Source organism: Homo sapiens, chromosome 1, assembly GCF_000001405.40.
Source record: "Homo sapiens chromosome 1, GRCh38.p14 Primary Assembly".
NCBI lineage: Eukaryota > Metazoa > Chordata > Mammalia > Primates > Hominidae > Homo > Homo sapiens.
The window spans coordinates 203,684,248-203,703,166 of record NC_000001.11 but is presented as its reverse complement, the minus strand read 5'-3'; the positions used below and the strand labels follow the sequence as shown (position 1 = coordinate 203,703,166).

The 18,919-nt window shown below is 46.0% G+C and overlaps 1 protein-coding gene across 4 annotated transcripts in view; it reads right to left on the bottom strand.

The window, feature by feature from the left end:
- The window catches only part of ATP2B4 (ATPase plasma membrane Ca2+ transporting 4), a 117,250-nt gene that overhangs the window by 40,915 nt on the left and 57,416 nt on the right, over nucleotides 1-18,919 (bottom strand). For all 4 annotated transcript variants that reach the window (NM_001001396.3, NM_001684.5, NM_001365783.2 and 1 more), the window contains exons 3-7: nucleotides 4,813-5,010; nucleotides 3,450-3,707; nucleotides 2,836-2,961; nucleotides 2,244-2,369; nucleotides 1,088-1,123 (exon numbers count right to left, since the gene is read on the bottom strand). In NM_001001396.3, coding sequence (NP_001001396.1) covers nucleotides 1,088-1,123; nucleotides 2,244-2,369; nucleotides 2,836-2,961; nucleotides 3,450-3,707; nucleotides 4,813-5,010 — 744 coding nt within the window. The remainder of the gene's footprint in view (nucleotides 1-1,087; nucleotides 1,124-2,243; nucleotides 2,370-2,835; nucleotides 2,962-3,449; nucleotides 3,708-4,812; nucleotides 5,011-18,919) is intronic.

Here is an 18,919-nt window from a genome sequence, read left to right as displayed (position 1 = left end):
TCGATTGTCAGGGAAGAAACACATACCCCCAGACCCAGGGTATTTTCCAGCCCCTTCTAGCAGTTGAGGATAGGAAAAGAAAATTCCCTTTCTTCCCTGCCTGACAAAGGTAGAGAGATACAGAGTGGGACCTGGGGTTAAGTCTTTTGGGGAAGAGGGAAGAAGCTGGTGTGAGGGACCTCCTGGAATAAGAGAAAGCAGGGATAAAGAGAGACATATAAATCCATTTTGCTTTTAAAAGAAGAGTTAAAGACCTAAAATTAAAGAATTATTTCTGTTTAGCTCTGGTTTTCCAATGTGATGACTTTATTTCTAAAGACTGCTGTGATGTGGGTTACAAAGTAAAAACAAATCTCTAGGAGCGTCACAAGACAGTAGTTCTTGCTGGCTCCCAGCACCACTCCACTTTCACTGCTATAGGGCTCAGCCCCTTGCTTAGGATACCCTTCCTGAGTAGTCCCTGCTGTCAGACTCACAAACAAGAAGACGGAGACAGAATGTGAACACAGTCACCAAAAGAGACACACACATCAGATCAGGAGGAAGAAAACAGACTGTGGCAAGAACAAAGAAGGGAGGTGGGGAGAGAGATACAGAGAAAGGGCTCTCTCCAAGCACCCCTGAGAAGACCAGCAGAGAAGGGATCCAGACCAGAAGAGGACACTTATGAGGAAGCTAGCAAGAGGACGGTGCAGGGACTACCCACCCCACCTCCCTCCACCATGAGGACCCTGAAGTCTTCCAACCCAGAAACTGATGACTGTTGGTGTTTAAATCAGGCTGAGGTCAATGAAGCAGAGTTCAGCTCCCTAGGAAGAGCAGATCAATCCTACACACTCCCCAAGACAAACCTTGACATGACATTCTGTGAGCCAACAGCAGAGGGTGCTGTTGTCCCATCTTAGATTGGGATCAGGACCTTGAGACCACCCCAAAAATCTCTGCACCTTCCTCAGGATGAGGCATCTGAGCCACAGCAGCAGATAACAGATTTATGGAGAGGAAAAGGGAGAAGGAAGATGGCCTGGAAAGGTCTGGTTTGAGTGTGGGCAGGTAGAGATGGTAAATGAGTAGTTGGAGAGGTTACCTTTGTTGCGATTTTCAGGGACTCCTTGTTTTTTACCTGTTTGAACAAGAAAGAAAAAAGTGGGGTCGAAACCCAAAGTAACTATTAAGAGATCCAATTTGTTGGTCCTGCTCAGAGCCCAGAAGGACAACAGCAAAGTGTTTGGGTTGCAGGGAAGGGACATAAATGTAAAGGAAGCTCACATCTCTGTTTTCATTCATTCTTGCTAGAGGCTGTCATGAATCCTCGGGATATCCACCAAAACGCTCATGTAGGTGAGTGCATACTCATACCTGAGGTGCTTTCTCTTGCTCCTGGCCTGAGTCACATTGCTTGGAAAAATGGGGTGGGGATTAGGAAGTGAGAGGTTTGAACCGTTTCTGCCTGATGGCAAAGACTTTGAAAGGTGTCTCCGTGTTACTTCAACAGCACCAGGCAAGCTTCCCCCTTATTCATCTGCAGGCAGCTGCAGAAATGAATTATTTAGTTCCTGAGAGAATGTGTTTTGTTTCCTTTTCATAAACTGTCCTCCACTAAACAGCTCAAGATGATTCTCCAGCCAAGTGGTAGAAACCTTCTCTCCCCTAAGGGAAGAAGGAATGCTTAGGGAAACGTGTAGACTTGGTTTTAGTATCTTCTCCTCTTTCTCCCTCTTATTCTTTCCTTCAGGAATAACTGAGTGGCAAAGACTGAACTAACTGTTCCTACTCTTCTAGCTGTGTGTCTCTTCCATTGAGAGCCTACAGTTTCGGCAGAAATCTATTTTACTCTTCTGGCCAATTTTCTCTTAGTCTTGATGGTTCGTTTAACCCCCCATCTTTGAGGAAGAAAGTTGGGGAAGGAGGGGGAGTACACGGAAGGCATTTGGGGCTACCAGCACCTAGCCAGTTTATTTAGGGCAGGCTTTATAACTCATCCCTTTACAAGCTACCATTAGACATAAAAATCAAGGCTCAAATTCAACCTGATTTGGGAGCCTAGAGCCAGGATCTGGTTTTCATCAGAGCTCCCTGGAGCCAAGGATTTACATCTTTATCTCAGCAAGGAGTTTGGATATCTGCTTTCTTCATGGCAGCAGATTCTTCCAACCATGCTTTCTATCCAGATCTGCTCCCTCGCTTCCTTGTTTGTCCATGGGGATGAGAGGAAAGAGAATCTCATTCCAGATGCCCCTTACCTTTCTTCTTTTTCTCCCCTTCGTCATCCTCATTGACCCCCAAGAGAGTAAGGATGATTCCAGTCTGAGAGTTGACACCAACAGCTGTCACCACCATCCGGCCAGAACCTTCCATGACATGGGTCCCTACACGGGAAAGGAGAAGATGGGAAGGAATGGGTTTTTTAATACCTAGACATGATTTGGTATGAAACACAAACTTAGAAGAAAAAATACTCCTCCCTACCCCATGGATAATGATGTGCTTAGCACAGTAGGAAAAGGTCAAGAGCTGGGCGCATTTAAAACAGACCAGACAAATTGGGAGTAAGGAGGAAAATGTGTCTAACCGCTTTAGGGTAAGCCCTCCCTCCTGCCCCCGCCACCCCTGCAACCAGCAAAGCCCCTTCAAGGCCCTTATAACACTTGTTTCATGGAAAACTTCATTTAGGCTGCCTGATATCCTTGTATTCCACCCACCAAAATGCTGTTGCCCCAGCTGAACCCCAGGGAAGGAGATGGGACAGAGTCAGAGGAGAGAACAGGGTCTGGATCCTGTGGCCTAGGTGTTTGCAGGGAGGTAAATGGGAACTTGGGCAGCCAGGGCCTATACCTGAGAGCAACATGGGGTCTTTGTCCAGGGACTTCTTGACATGGTCAGATTCCCCTGTCAGAGAGCTCTCATCAATCTTCAGATCATTCCCTTGGATCAGGATTCCATCTGCAGGCAGCAGATCACCTAGAGCACAAAGGGGAAGGAGGGACAGTGAAGGAGATAGTAAGAGACTGGCTGAGGGTAGGGTCCTCCAACTCCTTCAACCCTATCTCATGGCTGTTCCCATGGGCCCTATCTAGACAGCAATGGCCGAGAGTACATGGAGACTCTTTACAAGTCTTCAGCTCTGTACAATCTGGGAGAAGGTTGCTTTCCAGGCATTATAAATTCAAACTCTTATTCATCCCCAACACCTTTCCATGGCCTGAATGTTATACACTTTTAACCCTAAGACACACAGGGTACAAGTCTGACAATCTTGCGACAGAGTTTCAGCTACTCCTTTCTGAAATGGCTTCCCACAACCTCTTTAAACTCTAACCTAGAAGTGAATACAATTTTGGATCTTATCTTTTTGGGTTTTCAGCAATTCCCAGCCCCCTCATGCCAAAGGACCTATCCCTTAAATGGGGGTGGTGGTGGGGTAAGCAAAAGAAACACGGAGCTCTCACCGTATTTGACTTGGGCAATATCACCAACCACAATCTCAGCCACAGGGAGCTGGATGAGTTGACCGTTTCGGATGATGGAGAACTTTTGCTCCTGTTCAATGCGGCACTGCAGCCCCCGGAATTGCTTCTCTTTGCTCCAATCATTAAAGGCAGTCACTAACACCACGATGATCACTGAGAAAAGGATGGCTGCCCCCTCAATCCAGCCAGCTTGTGCCTCATTTTCATCTTCTGGGGTAGTTGCGACTTGACCACACACTATCCCAGGAAGGGAGAGAAATAGTCACTGAAGGGCTTTTGTTGACATTAAGAAATAGGAGTAGTGCTTCCACAATCACCCCAAGATAGAAAGTCAGGAAAAGTGAATAATAGCAAATACAACTGTTGGCTGGAAGAGGATATCAGAGGATAGCAGGATTGAGTATTGTCTTATCACTAGTGTAACTATTTATGTTAATCCAAAAGAGGCAAATGACTAAATAGTACAAACTATCAAATTTAGGGAAGTCACATGTAAGGTCACACTTATGGTTCCCAACATGGTCAGGCTTTCACTACTGTTTCCCATCATGCCAGACAATTGGTGGCAGGGGGCACTTTGAGATGTAGGGTTTTGTTGGTTGGATAAGGGTAGAGAATTCCTGGCTGGGGGTGTTGGTTCACACCTGCAATCCCAGCACTCTGGGAGGCCAAGGCAGGCAGATCGCTTGACCCCAGGGGTTTGAGACCAACCTGGGCAACATAGTGAGACCTTGTCTCTATGTTGTAAAAATTATTAAATAGGCCAGGCAAGTGGGTCACGCCTGTAATCCCAGCACTTTAGGAGGCCAAGGCGGGTGGATCACCTGAGGTCAGGAGTTTGATACCAGTCTGGCCAACATGGTAAGGCCCTGTCTCTACTAAAAATACAAAAATTAGCCAGGCGTGATGGCACACGCCTGTAATCCCAGCTACTCAGGAGGCCGAGGCACGAGAATTGCTTGAACCCAGGAGGTTGCAGTGAGCCCAGATTAAGCTGCTGCACCCAGCCTGGGTGACAGAGCAAGATTCCATTAAAATAATAATAATAATAATAATTAATAAATAAATAAAATGTCTTAAAAGGGTAGAGGATTCCTGACATTCCGAAAAAGGATTTAATAGAAGACAGAGGGTGAGGGTGGGGTGGGGAGGAACCCTTGGAATAAGGATGAGTTGGAAGAATAGCTTAGTAGCTACTGCTTGGTTTCCTTTGGAAAGCCCACTCTGGATAATGGGGGAAATGTTTTAAGCTATAACCTGTCAGCCACCAATACTAAGCGCTTGGTGGTGGTGGTGGAAAGAACCCAGATAAGAGTCACGCTGAGCTGTTTAGGACACTCACGTTCATTTTCTTCACCAGCAGGGCGATAAAAGGACAGGACCAGGGAGATGATGGCTGCAATCTCCAGGATGATAAGCGTGACATCTTGAAGAGCTTCCCACACTAATTCTAAGAAAGTCTTGGGCTTTTTGGGGGGGATCACGTTGTGTCCAAACACCTGCCTACGTTTCTCCAGATCTGCAGGGTTCCCAGACAGACCTGAAAAGGAGATAGGAGTGGATGAATGAATGTAGGAAAAAAGGAAAATGATAAAAGGCAGTTTTGAAGTGGCAGTGAGCCATGATCATGTCATTACACTCTAGCCTGGGCAACAGAGAGAGACGCTGTCTCAAAAATAAATAAAATAAAGAGGCCAGGCATGGTATCTCACGTCTGTAATCCTAGCACTTTGGGAGGCCAAGGTGGGTGAATTGCTTATGTTTAGGAGTTCGAGACCAGCCTGGGCAACATGGTGAAACCTTGTCTCCACAAAAAAGACAAAAATTAGCCAGGCATGATGTGGTGCACCTGTAGTCACAGCTACTCAGGAAGCCGAAGTGGGAAGATTGTTTTGACCTCAGGAGTTTGAGGCTGCAGTGAGCAGCAGTGATCACGTCATTGCACTCCAGCCTGGGCAACAAAATGAGACCTTGTCTCTAAAATAAAATAAATAAAAAAGACCCTTTCCTTCCTGATTTGCTCAAGTATGAGATCCAGTTAGAGACAACCATCCTAATCTGCCCAGGACTTAGAGAGGGTGGAACTTTCAGTCTAAAAATGGGCAAAATGAAACTAGTCAGCCATGGGACCACTCACTTATCTTAGTAACAAGTATAAGCTGGATAAATTCTTAACCAGACATAAAATCTTATCTGCTACTGATTGAGTATGCCCCAGGCTCCAGCTCTGAGAACATTAAATATTAAAGTGGTTCTTGGGATTCACATAGAACTTTTATGTCATATTAACAGGTAAATGCTGCAGTGATTTAAAAGCAGAGTGAGCTGCCATCCATTGGCTCACACACAAAGGCCAGGAAGAACAAGCTCCTTGCTCAAGGTCATGCAAGATGGAGGCAGAGCCCACACATGTGTCCTAATTCTAAGATCCAGGAGCTTTAGGGGAGCATCAGGGCAGAGTCTTTAAGACTATAACTTGTGGGCATTCCCTTTAAGCACATGTGCCCCTCTTCTGTCACACACATATACACACCTGTGTGCCTAGGTGTATGCATGTACACACACTCACAGAGGCACAAACACACACCACTGAGAGATACTACCATTCTACTAAGGACTAAGTAGGTACTAAGGGAAGTACTACTACTCAGATTGAATAAAAAGAGAACAAGAAAGGTGGGGCCACAAAGTTTTCAGATGCCACGCAGTACTTGATTAGCAGCATCCTCCCTACCAACATACGTTTGCTTACATACCTGTGTGTACACACACCACATGCCACACACACTATACAGACACATACACACCACAAACCACATACACCACTCACATCACACACCTTATACACAATATACAGACACATACACACCAAACACAAACCACATACACAATACATACCACACAGATATATGACACACACACACACAGAACATGCACCACATACATACCACACCTACTCTCTACGCACTTTCCCAGAGGGACAAGAGATAGGCAGAATTATTCTCAGTGCTTTCCTTATATTTGGGTCCTTTCATGGGTCCCCAGGTGGGGCTACCCTTGAAGGGAAGAGGGGCAATCCTACCATGGTGATTAATGCCAGTTGGTGTTCAAGTTGTTTACACGCTGAGGCAAATTAGTCCTGGTTTTGGCACTGGAAGCTGTTGGTTGCCGGTTTGAAGGGTTTCCCAGAGGCAGGGTAGGGTGACTTTTGTCTTGAAAAAAGGTTAGCAGCTGAGGAGGGTCAGAATCAGAGGAAGGGAACTTCAACTGAGCTTCACAGAGAGAACAAGAAGTGGATGATGGAGGCTGCAGGGACAAAACGGAGGCAAAGGACTTGGATGCCAGAGGCCTTCTTTACACTTTAGTCAATGTGAAGGGCTATTCTGTTGCTGAGGAAGGAATGCAGACGTGGTATACAGGCAAATGTCTACTCTTCACTGAAAATCTTCACTGAATAGAACCCAAGAGTGGGCCGGGCGTGGTGGCTCATGCCTGTAATCCCAGCACTTTGGGAGGCCAAGGTGGGTGTATCACTTGAGGTCAGGAGTTTGAAACCAGCCTGGCCAACACGGTGAAACCTCATCTCTACTAAAAATACAAAAAAATTAGCTGGGTGTGGTGGCGCATGCCTGTAATCCCAGCTACTAGGGAGGCTGAGGCAAGAGAATTGCAATCTGGGAGGCAGAGGTTGCAGTGAGCTGAGATCATGCAACTGCACTCCAGCCTGGGCGAGAGAGAGACTCTGTCTCAAAAAAGAACCCAGGAGTGTTACCTTAAATGTCAAAAGGAGAGATTTGGGTTAGGACCTGAGGAAGACATCTGAACAGATAAAGATTTTGAAAATGGGAAAATAGGTACCCAAGGGAGCATTATTTGCAGAGTTTGGGATGGCCTCCATTTCCCTATCCTATAAAACAAAAAGCATCAGGAGACATACATAAGATACTCATCTGTCTGGGAAGGTAGATGTGGGGGGTGGGAGATGAAAGTGGGGGGGCAGGGGATGAACTAGCATCCACACCTATGCAGTTAGGGGTGTGAGGGCCCTCTTTTGAGACCACATTCACTTGCTAGTGCTTAGGAGAGAGACACAGGGGCTGGTTAGGGAAGTGGTGCCTGATGGCTTATCCAGGGTCTCCTGACTCCCAGTGCCCAAGCACATCACCCTGGCCTCCAGCTTAGGGGCACAGCTGAGCCCCGCAGAGCTGTGAGGTTTGGCCAAACCTCTAGAAGCAAATTGGGTTGCTCCCCAGAGACTCCCTGCCCCACCAGCCTGAGAAGTCAGGTTCCCAGTAGGAGGGAAAGCCAGAGCCTGGGAAAGGAGTGTTCTGGGCAGGGAATCTTTAGCCCCAGACAGGCAGAGGCAGACTTGCCAAAGGGGCAGGGCCTTGCTGGTCCTTTCTCCCCAGGGACCAGAGATGGCAAGGCTGTGCCAAGTTGGGTCTGCTGTGCTGGAGAGCCAGGCTTGCTGGCAGGAGTGCTGGTAATTTGTTAAGCTACCTGGGACGCTTCTCAAAAAAGCAGGATTCACAATGTAAAGGGAGTAGATGCCCTTTCCTTCTTACCAAGGTTTAGTAGATGATTATGAGGGCAAACCAAGACATCAGATATTAAAGATCATAAGGTGCACCCCAATAGCCTAATGAAACCCTCCCTCCCAAAAAGAGGGACATATGAGGGGCAGAGAACAGGGCTACCTGTCCCTCTCTGCTCTCATGCTAATACCCTGTAATCATCTTTGATGCCCAGCCCCCATCTCCTATATCATGTAGTTGAGAAATCCTATCAGCTTCAAAATATATCTAAAGTCCAATCACTTTCCATTTTCACTGTTATCATCCTGGTCTAAACCATCCTCTCTCATCTGGATTATAGCAATCATCTTCTAACTGGTCTCCTTGCCTCCACCCTCCCTCTCCTGTTCTTAGTCTCTTCTCAATGTATTAGCCAGAATGATCTTTTTTAAGATCCAAGGCAGTACATGCGATTCATCTGCTCAAAACCCTCTGGCTTTTACTTAGAGTAAAACTAGGCACCAAGGACTTAATGATGGGCTTCCAGGACCCTTATGACTCCCCCAGCCCCCCAGTCCTTATCTCCTACTAGTTTCTCCATGTTCACTGAGATCTGGCCCAACCAGCCTGCCTGCTGTTCTCTAAACGCACTAGACAGGCATCTACATCAGGGCCTCTGCACAAGCTGTTCCCTCTGCCCAGATTCCTCTTTGTTGGAGAGGGCTCACTTCCTCACCTCCCTCAGGTCTTTGTACAAACATCTTCTTTTTAGTGAGGCCTACCCTGACCACTGTATTTACCTGGCACTCTTGATCCCCCTCATCCTGCTCAATCATTTCCCTCCACAGGTCTTCTCACCTAGCATATAATAGGACACATTCATTTATTGTTTGTCCACCTCCTCCACAAGGGCAGGATTTTTATCTTTGTTCCTCAGGCCTACAGCATTGCCCAGCACATTGTACACACACAAATTTGTAGAATGAACTGAATGAATGAGTGATAACTAAGATTGCTAACATTTAAGTGATTACTATGTGCCAGATGCCTCACCAGGCACATTCATGCCTTCTCATTCAAGCATCACAAACCCCTACCTGGTAGCTACTATTAACCCAATTTGACATAGAAGCAAACTAAGGCCTGGCAGGGGTATGACTACTTGAGCTTATTAAGTGGCAGAGTCTATGCCACCCCACAGAGGGCCACTGGATGCCAACCTAGATACAGAGGACGCTGGGACATGGAGGCAGCTGCACTCAGCTGAGGCTTCAATCTAGTGTGACTAACTTGTCCTGGTTTGCCTAGGACTTGCCAGGTTTTAGCACTGAAGTTTCTGCCTCCTGGGAACCCCGCTCAGTCCCGGGCAAACCGGGATGGTTGGCCACCCTACTTCCTTCACCACGGGGCAGGGTTGCATGCTGCTTTCCTCTGTACCTCTAAGCAAGCCAGCGCTGTTCCCACTGTCTACAATTGGGGTGGATTAGTCCTGTCTTTTTTCTTCCTGGCCTCAGGGATGGTAACATCGCCATCAGGTTCATCAGAGTCCAAACCTATGAATTTTGTACTCAATAAAACCTTTCTTATGGCCTTTTTTGGACCCAAGCAAATGAAGTGACATACACTATGGAAAACATAAAAAGTCAGGGCTTGTTCTTACCTAAATGCTCTCAAAGTCACTTGCTTGCTTCTTTTTTTTGCCATTTTCTACTCATCTATGTGTTCCACCTTAAGTCACCCTGAGCTTGTACAATAGCAACCTTAAGAAGTCAAGTGGCTGTCTCAGTTCCCAGTATGCCCTGCAGCAAGGCGGGGCAGGTCAAGGCTCTTAGCTGTAGTAGCCTTGGGAATCCTCTCTGACATGTGGTGAGGCATGGGAAAGCCATGTGGGACTGGGAGCTCGGCCAATCCCCAGTTTTGGGCTTTCCATTCCAATTCTTTCTGCCCTAGAGAGTCTTTCAGGCCCTGATCTCAGCAGCTGTAATTTCACACAAATACTTGTCCAGCCTGGGAAAAGGCTCTAAAAGGCCCTGATCTCTGCAGTGGTTTCTCAGATGCTCACACAACCTCCTGGAGAGGGGAAGGAAAACTTGGCAGGGAGAGAATGCTGGAAACACAGGAAAAGGGTTTCCCCTAGAAATTCCTCAGGAAACTGAGGGGAAATCTTGTCCTCAAGAACATGAGAGAGAAAGCCCCACCCAGAGTGGGAGTACTTCTGGCCCTATGAACCAGACTGAACACATGAGCTGGGAGAGGCAAAGAGAATGTTTAGCTGTGAAGTCATCACCCCCACCCCATGCTGGGGAGGTGCACGGCCCCTGCCCAGGCTGGGTGGGAACATAGAATAAACAGCAGTGGAATATTTGTGTCTGCCATGAGTGTGCAGGACCTAGGGCCTGGGAGGAGAAATGCAGCCCAACCCTCAGTGGCTTAGCTCCAGCAGGGAAGGGCCAACGACATCGGCAGAGGCACTACTTATCAGAACCAGCTCAGCCCCAGAAAGGGTGGGGCTAGGGTAGACATCAGGAGGGACTTCCCAGCTGTCTGAGTTATGACACCTTGCCAAAGGAGGCAGCAGAATCTTCTCCCACTCATATAGTACCAGGGAGAATTTTCTCTGGGTTGATTTGAAGGCTGTCCTCTTTTGGAACTTGAGAAGGACAGACAGCAGAATACCTTTTAAGTCCTTCCTTAAAAGGATTTGGGTTTTGTTTGGTGGCTCATGCCTGTAATCCCAGAATTTTGGGAGGCCAAGGTGGGAGGATAGCTTGAGCTCAGGAGTTCGAGACCAGCCGGGGCAATACGGAAAGATTCTGTCTCTACAAATAATAAAAAAAATTAGCTGGACATGATGGCGTGTGCCTGTGGTCCCAGCTACTCAGGAGGTTGAGGCAGGAGGATGGCCTCAGCCCAGGAGGTTGAGGCTACAGTAAGCCGTGATTTTGCCACTACATTCCAGCCTGGGCAACAGAGCAAGACCCTGTCTCAAAAAAAGAAAAAAAAGGCCGGGTGTGGTGGCTCACGCCTGCAATCCCAGCACTTTGGGAGGCCGAGGCGGGCGGATCATGAGGTCAGGAGATCGAGACCATCCTGGCTAACACAGTGAAACCCCGTCTCTACTAAAAATACAAAAATTAGCTGGGTGTGGTGGCGGGCGCCTGTAGTCCCAGCTACTCGGGAGGCTGAGGCAGGAGAATGGTGTGAACACGGGAGGCGGAGCTTGCAGTGAGCTGAGATTGCGCCACTGCACTCCAGCCTGGGCAACAGAGCCAGACTCCATCTCAAAAAAAAAAAGTTAAAATTAATTTTAAAAAACCCCAACAACCCTGGATTTGGGGACTGAGGGGGAGGAGTAACTTAAAATCAAAATAGGGCCATGCAAGATCTAGCCATCTCTGGCTAATAACCGAATGCTACTCTTCCGAGTATACAGCAGTTTCCCTGCTTCAGCACCTCCAGTTTAATACACGCATGGCTTGGAGATTTGCTCCCTATCTGCTAGACTTCCAGCTCCTAGAGATAAAGCAGTTGATTCAAGGTCACAGCCAGAGGATGATGAACTTGGAGAACAATGCTTCTTTTCTCATTCTGGTCAGCAAAACCCTTCCCAAGGTGGGCCGCTTCCTCAGGGCATGCTTCCCTTTATCCCGCCCCCTGCTCTTGGCCTTTTTTTGAAAACAGCAACTGTGGCCCAGGGAAAAAAGTCTCCCTAGAGCTCTCTAGTTAGCTTTCTGCTCTGCCACTCTGCCACCTTCTGTACTTCATGAATGTGCTTCCATCTGGTGTCATATTCCCACCTTGGAGCTAAATAATAAGAATGAAAGCCCCACTTTCGGTAGATGCAGTATCTGCTTCACCCAAGGAGGGAATGCTATTTTTCTTCCCAACAGCTAATGGTCCAATGTAAGCCAAGAATGAGAAGGTTAAAAACCAAATCAGACCCCCAAAAAACTTGCAACAGTTGCTGCTGAGTTGTCAAAGGAATGGAGCATAAAGGGCTCCAGGAGAGAAAGCAGGAAGGGGAAGCCTCCTGCTTCCAGGTTGGGGAAGCCTTAGCTACTCTCCTCGTGAAGATCCCTCTGACCCCAGCTGGACAGCATTATGACAGTGAACCCAGAAGCCCAGCTCTAGGCAAGGAGGGCTAAGTAGAAAAGAACTGGCAGAGCCTGGGCTGGGCTAGGAAGAGAGAACCCACAGCCTACAAGAAGCCTAATTCAGCCCTAGGCATGAAACTCAAACCAGACAGGGAATTCCTAGGATGCAAAGTGGAGTTCCCTGTGGTGGGGGATGGGGAGGGGCAGAGGGAGGACACTTTTGGCTTGAGTCCTTCTCACATCGTGAATTAGTTAGTGCTAATCCATCTGCCCAAAATTTGGTAGGCAGAGTGGACCACAGAATGTTAATCTCTGAGGCCATGCCCAGATCACTGTTATTAGGGTCACTTATTTGCCATCCTTAGTAGAGTTGGGGCAAGAGATGATGGCTACAGGGCAGAGGGCACAAAGAAAGAGGAAAATAGAGGTTATGCTTCTAACCTCAAGTGGAGGAGCTCCTAAAAATTGATATTCCAGAACAGACTATAAGCTCTAAAGATAGGGAAGAAAAATCTCAAAGAACCCAGTTGCCCATCTTCCTCTCACATCTGTTCCATCCCATCTTCACTCACCTAGTCCTCCACATCCCCCTAACGCCACCGTGCTTTAGAGCAGCGGTCTCTAAGCGGGGGGCATGCATCCATCTGTTAGAGTGAGGAAAATATATGTTTGCCTATCTTATTATGTAAATAAAAGTGTTAGATGTATTAATAGTAAGGCAATAGTCTTGTAGGTGAACATTTACTTGGGATATGTACTCAATTTTTTCCAGATTGACAATACTACTAGAAATTTCAATCTGCTACACCGAGGAAGAGCCCAATCCCAGTACATCTCAGCTTGTAGCAAAATGGACAATTCCTGGTAAAACATGCCACTGCCCTCAAAAGGCACAGTGACGGGAACACAGTTAAGCCCCAGAGATCTTAAGGTGATAGACGTTCATCTAAATCCTCAAGCTAATAAAACAAAATTGTAATTTGGGTTGGCCGTCTTAAAACACATTTTTTTTCCCGCCTGCCACTTACTCCCCAAGGAATCTCAGCTCCCTAAACCTAGTAACTACCCAGTAATTAAGGAAGGCAAAAATGCTGGCATCTTATGCCAGGAATATTCAGCAGGTGGTAGCAATGATCATAGAGCGTGGCCATGCTAGAGCTTCACTGGGTAATCCCTAAATGATACAGGTGTGCTGTCTCCAGCTCTAAGCCCCCTTCCCCTCCCCTGCAATGCCTTCAGCTTAGGTCCCTACACTGTGTTCCCATAGACGCTGCTCTTCCTCATCGAAGCCCTATGGCAAGATTTCTGAAATTGCCTTCATTCATATGCATCTTCTTTTAGCCTGTAAGCTCTATGGAAGGAGGCACTGCACCTGTCATGTTCACCCTTGTGTCCCTAGCACCTAGCAGTTTTTAAGTATTAGTTGAATGTTGTTGAAAAAGAATTGGAGGCCCTCAATATCTCACTGTCACGCCTTCAACTCTGCAGAGGAGAAAAGAAGTAGAAGGGTACAGAAGGAACATAAAACAGAAAGTTCCACCAACAATCTTTTAGATCCAAATTCAACCAAAATAGCCTTCAGCCTTTTGAAAGAAGGCCTACAGTTAATAATTTGCTGTTTATTCAAGGCTCCCCTTGTTTCCCATTCTGTTCTGGGCCCAGACCTTGCCTCCAAGGGCTGGCCTAACTCTTCCTCAGAAAACACCATTCTTCCTCCTAAAAAGGATAGCGTAGCTAAGGACCAATGTGCAAAATTCTACAGGGAAAAAAGAACACGTATAACCTCTACCTAGGCCGCCAGGACCATCCCTTTTTCCTTCACACAAAAGGGTATTGAGACTAAGGAAAATACCTCTTCCTTCTTCCCCTTAAGCCACAGGTAATTTTCATCCCAGATTCACAAAAAGCTTCTTCCACTCACGAGGCCATGAGACTCCACAGGAAACCACACAGAAGGTAAAAGGCTATCTTCTAGCCTATACCAACCAAACTGCTCTGTTCTTTGGGGATTGGAAAGATTGGTTGAGGTGGGAATGGGACAGGGAAAGAAGAGACAATAAAAGGAGGGGGAAAAAACTGGAATGGGGAACGAAGCAAGCAAACAAGAAGGATTCCATTGTGCAAAATGCTCAGATTGTCCCTCCTGATAAACCCAAGGCAACACAGCTTGCCCAGGAGCTCCAGTCTCACCCCTGCATCTTTGCTTTTGTTTATATACAGACATAAAGACTGAAATCTTTAGTTACTTTGATGTAAACATGTATTCTCTTTTATGTCTCCCCCACCCTTTCTTGTTGCCCTAAATTTTCTTCTCTTTTTGGCTCATGCTCTCAGCCTTATTTCTGGTTGTTGCTGAAGGCCATGTAGCTAAACATCTCCAAGCCTTCTTAAGTCTAACCAACTCTTGGCCACTGGGGCAACTCCTCTTACTCTAACTAGCTAATGTATACTCAAGGAACACAAGCCAGTATCAAAACATTGGGCTGAGGCTGCGCATGAGGGCTCATGCCTGTAATCCTAGCACTTTGGGGGGCCAAGGTGGGCAGATCGCTTGAGGCCAGGAGTTCAGGACCACCCTGGGCAACATGGAGAGACCCTGTCTCTACAAAAAAAAATACAAAAATTAGCTGGGCGTGGTGGTGCACACCTGTAGTCCCAGTTAACCAGGAGGCTAAGGTGGGAGGACTGCTTGAGCCTGGTAAGTGGAGGTTGCAGTGAGCCATGATTTCACCACTGCACTCCAGCCTCGGTGACAGAGCAAGACCCTGTTTCAAAAATAAAATTGAAAACAACAACAAAAAAACATTGGGTCAGTGGCGGCTCATGCCTGTAATCCCAGCACTTCGGGAGGCTGAGGTAGAGGTGGCAAAACCCCATCTCCACCAAAAAATACAAAAATTAACCCGGCATGGTGGCGCGCATCTGTGGTCCCAGCTACTTGGAAGGCTGAGGCAGGAGGATCAGTTGAGCCTGGGAGGCGGAGGTTGCAGTGAGCCGAGATCATGCCACTGCACTCCAGCCTGGGTGACAGAGTGAGAATCCATCCCAAAATAATAATAATAATAATAATAATAATAATAATAATAATAATAATCTCTTTCTCTCTCCCTCTCTCCAGGCTAAAGGGTTTAAATGACCTAAGTTCTTACCACCAGGTAGAATGGGATGGAATATTTCATGCCTTCTGACTTATACTCCATTAATGCTCTAAATGCTTCTTATGCTAGAGCAGTCTCACAGAGTATCTTAGCTAAAGCACAGATAGTGCTGGGACTACATGCATGAGCTACTGCGGCCAGCCAAAAGAGATAATTAAGTCCCACCTGCCTTTAGAATTGTGTAAATCTATGATAATAAAACCATGTTAGTATCAGAAATGTAATAAACTTCAAGTTCCATAAGCCCCCTTAAAAGCTATGGTTTAAAAAAAAATTCTGTCAATCTATACTAAAGATGCTATCAGTCCATAGAAAATAAAGGAAAAGGGTTATATTTTAGGAAACAATATCTCTGATCTTCACTTTCACCTTGGTTTCCAGCTAGCAGAATTCAAGCACCAGGTACATTTCTTTATTCTTATTATTGGTCCACTGGGACCTCCCACAATGACAAAATTCTCCTAGGCTGTCAGGCTGTGTGGCCTTCCATGAACAGGCTGGCTTTTTATAGGATGAGCATATTGGGGATCTTTTGTCTGCCTACCCTAACTAAACAGGTGAGCATTACCCTTGCCTGGGTAGATACTCCTATGTCTTAGCTGTTCTATATCTTCTTTTCTTTTCTTTTTTTTCTTTCTTTCTTCCTTTCTTTTCTTTCTTTTCTTTCTTTTTCTTTCTTATTTTTTTCTCCTTTTCTTATCTCTTTATTCTTCTTACACACTAGGACGTCACTGTTGGTACTGGGGACTAAAAATTACTAATGGAAAGGTTGTTTTCCAACACCGTCTCCCCAGTTCCAGAACAAGCCCTATGGTAACTCTTACATTACTACAAACTGGTGAGGCAGAAGAACTGCTTGAGTCCAGGAGTTTGAGACCAGTCTGGGCAACAGAGCAAGACCCCATCTCTCATAAAGAAAAAAAAAAAAAAAAAAAAGGCCAGATGCCATGGCTCACGCCTGTAATCCCAGCACTTTGGTAGGCCGAGGTGGATGGATCACCTGAGGTCAGGAGTTCGAGACCAGCCTGGCCAACATGATGAAACCCCGTCTCTACTAAAAATACAAAAAACTAGCTGGGAGTGGTGGCGTGCACCTGTAATCCTAGCTACTTGGGAGTCTGAAGCAGGAGAATTGCTTGAACCCAGGAGGCGGAGGTTGTAGTGAGCCAATATCGCGCCATTACACTCCAGCTTGGGCAACAAAAGCAAAACTCCTTCTAAAAAAAAAAAAAAAAAAAAAAAAAAGAAAGAAAAGAAAGAAAAACACCAGGACACATATTTGTGATCTAAGGAAGCAGTACATGGCAGTAGAAAATTGTGCCAGTGTTAGGAGTCCTAGGCTACAGGCATGGCCAGGGGCTGTAACGAGGGAAGCACTTGCCATTGGAAGGGGCTGAAACCAGGACTGGGAAAGGATCCAAGAGCATTAGCTATGTCTATAACATTTGATATCCAATGTTGACAGAAAGTAGAATATATGTTGGCCTTTGGGAAAGGAAGCTCTCTGGGAATCAGAAAGTAAACAGTGGCAGCTCTGGGAAGGGATCTGGAAAATTGGAGGAAAGCCTGAATCCTGCTGTCAGGAGTTCTCTAGGTTCCAGCTTCTTTGGACTCCCGAGTTCCTGTTTGTGAGACAGACAGCTGACCAGAGGGATCAAGAACAGCATAGGAAGGGAAAAAGAAAGATCCTGTTTAAATTCTGATGGGTGTTTGTAAAGTACTGCATAATCTCAGTGAAGATATAATTAAGAACAGACCCTCAGCAGTCAGTACGGCTGTAAAAGTGACTGAATAAAGAAATCTAGCTGGCAAGAAGTAGACAGAGCCCAAAGGGGTATGATTAAGGACTACCATTAGAAGGCAAAGACTGAGCCACATGAAAGCAATTAGATATTGCCACCTTACCCAGGGTTTTTTTTTTTTTTGTGATTAAGAAGTGAGCAAATGAAATGGACAGTAGTTGCAGTTACACACACAGTAACCTCTCCAGATAGGACAAAACATTGCACTCCATAGGCACCCATGTTCTGGCAAGTATCTACAGATGCATGGACTCTGTTTTAATCTGAGAAAACTAATCTATTGAACACCTAATTATAAGTATGAGCACTGTATATGTATTATTTAATCTCAGTAACTCTATGGGCTAGGTGTTATTAACATTATTTTCAAAGAAGAAACAGACTCAGGGAGGCTGAGTAAACTGTAGAGGGCTACTTAGTTAGTAAATGGTGGAGCTATCATTTGAACTCAAAGCCTATGAGATAGGAAACCAAATTCTAGAAGTAAAGAAAACAGGTAGGGAAGCTCCCTTAGGTTGTAAAGAAAATAAGACATAAACTAGGTATAGATATCTATGTAAAACTCTCTTTCTCTTTTTTCATCCTAAAGAGTCTAGGCTCCAAGTCACTAACTTATAATACAGCACTGGCAAAGGGTAACAACTTCTTAGAATTGGTGAGAAATATGCTGTGGCCTCTGAGGAAGATTCAGAAATAGGAGACCACATGAGACTGAAAGCCCCTAATGGACAAGATCTTTGCTCCATCTCATGCTACTCAACCATGAACTGCCAGATGTATAGGGCCAAGTAAGAATCTGCTACAGAGATGCTAAAACCAGACTAAAGTGAAAAAGCAAGTTTCCTTTTGTTCTTTCTACATTTTGATGAGGCAAAATTTCATAATACCATGGCACACTGGGCAACTGGGCTGGGCCAAAGCCTGAAGCTGAATTTTTCATTATCTTTTAAGTTTTTTTAGCTTTTAAGAAGAGATTAAGGCCGGGCGCAGTGGCTCATACCTGTAATCCCAGCACTTTGGGAGGTTGAGGTGAGCGGATCACCTGAGGTCAGGAGTTTGAGACCAGTGTGGTCAAAATGGTGAAACTCCATCTCTACTAAAAATACAAAATTAGCCACATGCCTGTAACCCCAGCTACTCAGGAGGCTGAAGCAGGATAATTGCTTGAATCCAGGAGGTGGAGGTTGCAGTGAGCCAAGATTGCACCATTGCACTCCAGCCTGCCTGGGCAACAAGAGTGAGACTCCTTCTCAAAACAAAAAAACCAAAAAAACAAAAAACAAAACAAACAAAAAAGATTAAGGAGAACTACATTAAAAGTGTATCCAGCAGAGTTGAAAAAAAATCACTTATAATTCCCTGACACAAAACAGTGAGTGATCCAAAGATATGATGGGTACAGTTATATACCTTGTGATTTAGCATCCCATTTCCTTTTTTTTTTCTTTTTATTTAAAATAGAGGCTGGGCGTGGTGGCTTATGCCTGTAAGCCTCCTCATCCCAACACTTTGGGAGGCCAAGGCAGGCAGATCACCTGAGGTCAGGAGTTCGAGACCAGCCTGACCCACAGGGTGAAATCCCATCTCTACTAAAATACAAAAAATTAGCTGGGCGTGGTGGTGCACACACCTGTAGTCCCAACTGCCTAGGAGGCTGAGGCATGAGAATTGCTTGAACCTGGGAGGCGGAGGTTGCAGTTAGCTAAGATCATTCCACTGCACTCCAGCCTGGGTGACACAGCAAGACTCTGTCTCCAAAAAAAAAAAAAAAAAAATAGAGATGGGGTGTTATTATGTCACCCAGGCTGGTCTGGAACTCCTGGGCTCAAGTGATCCTCTCACCTCAGCCTGCCAAAATGCTGGGATTAGAGATGTGAGCCA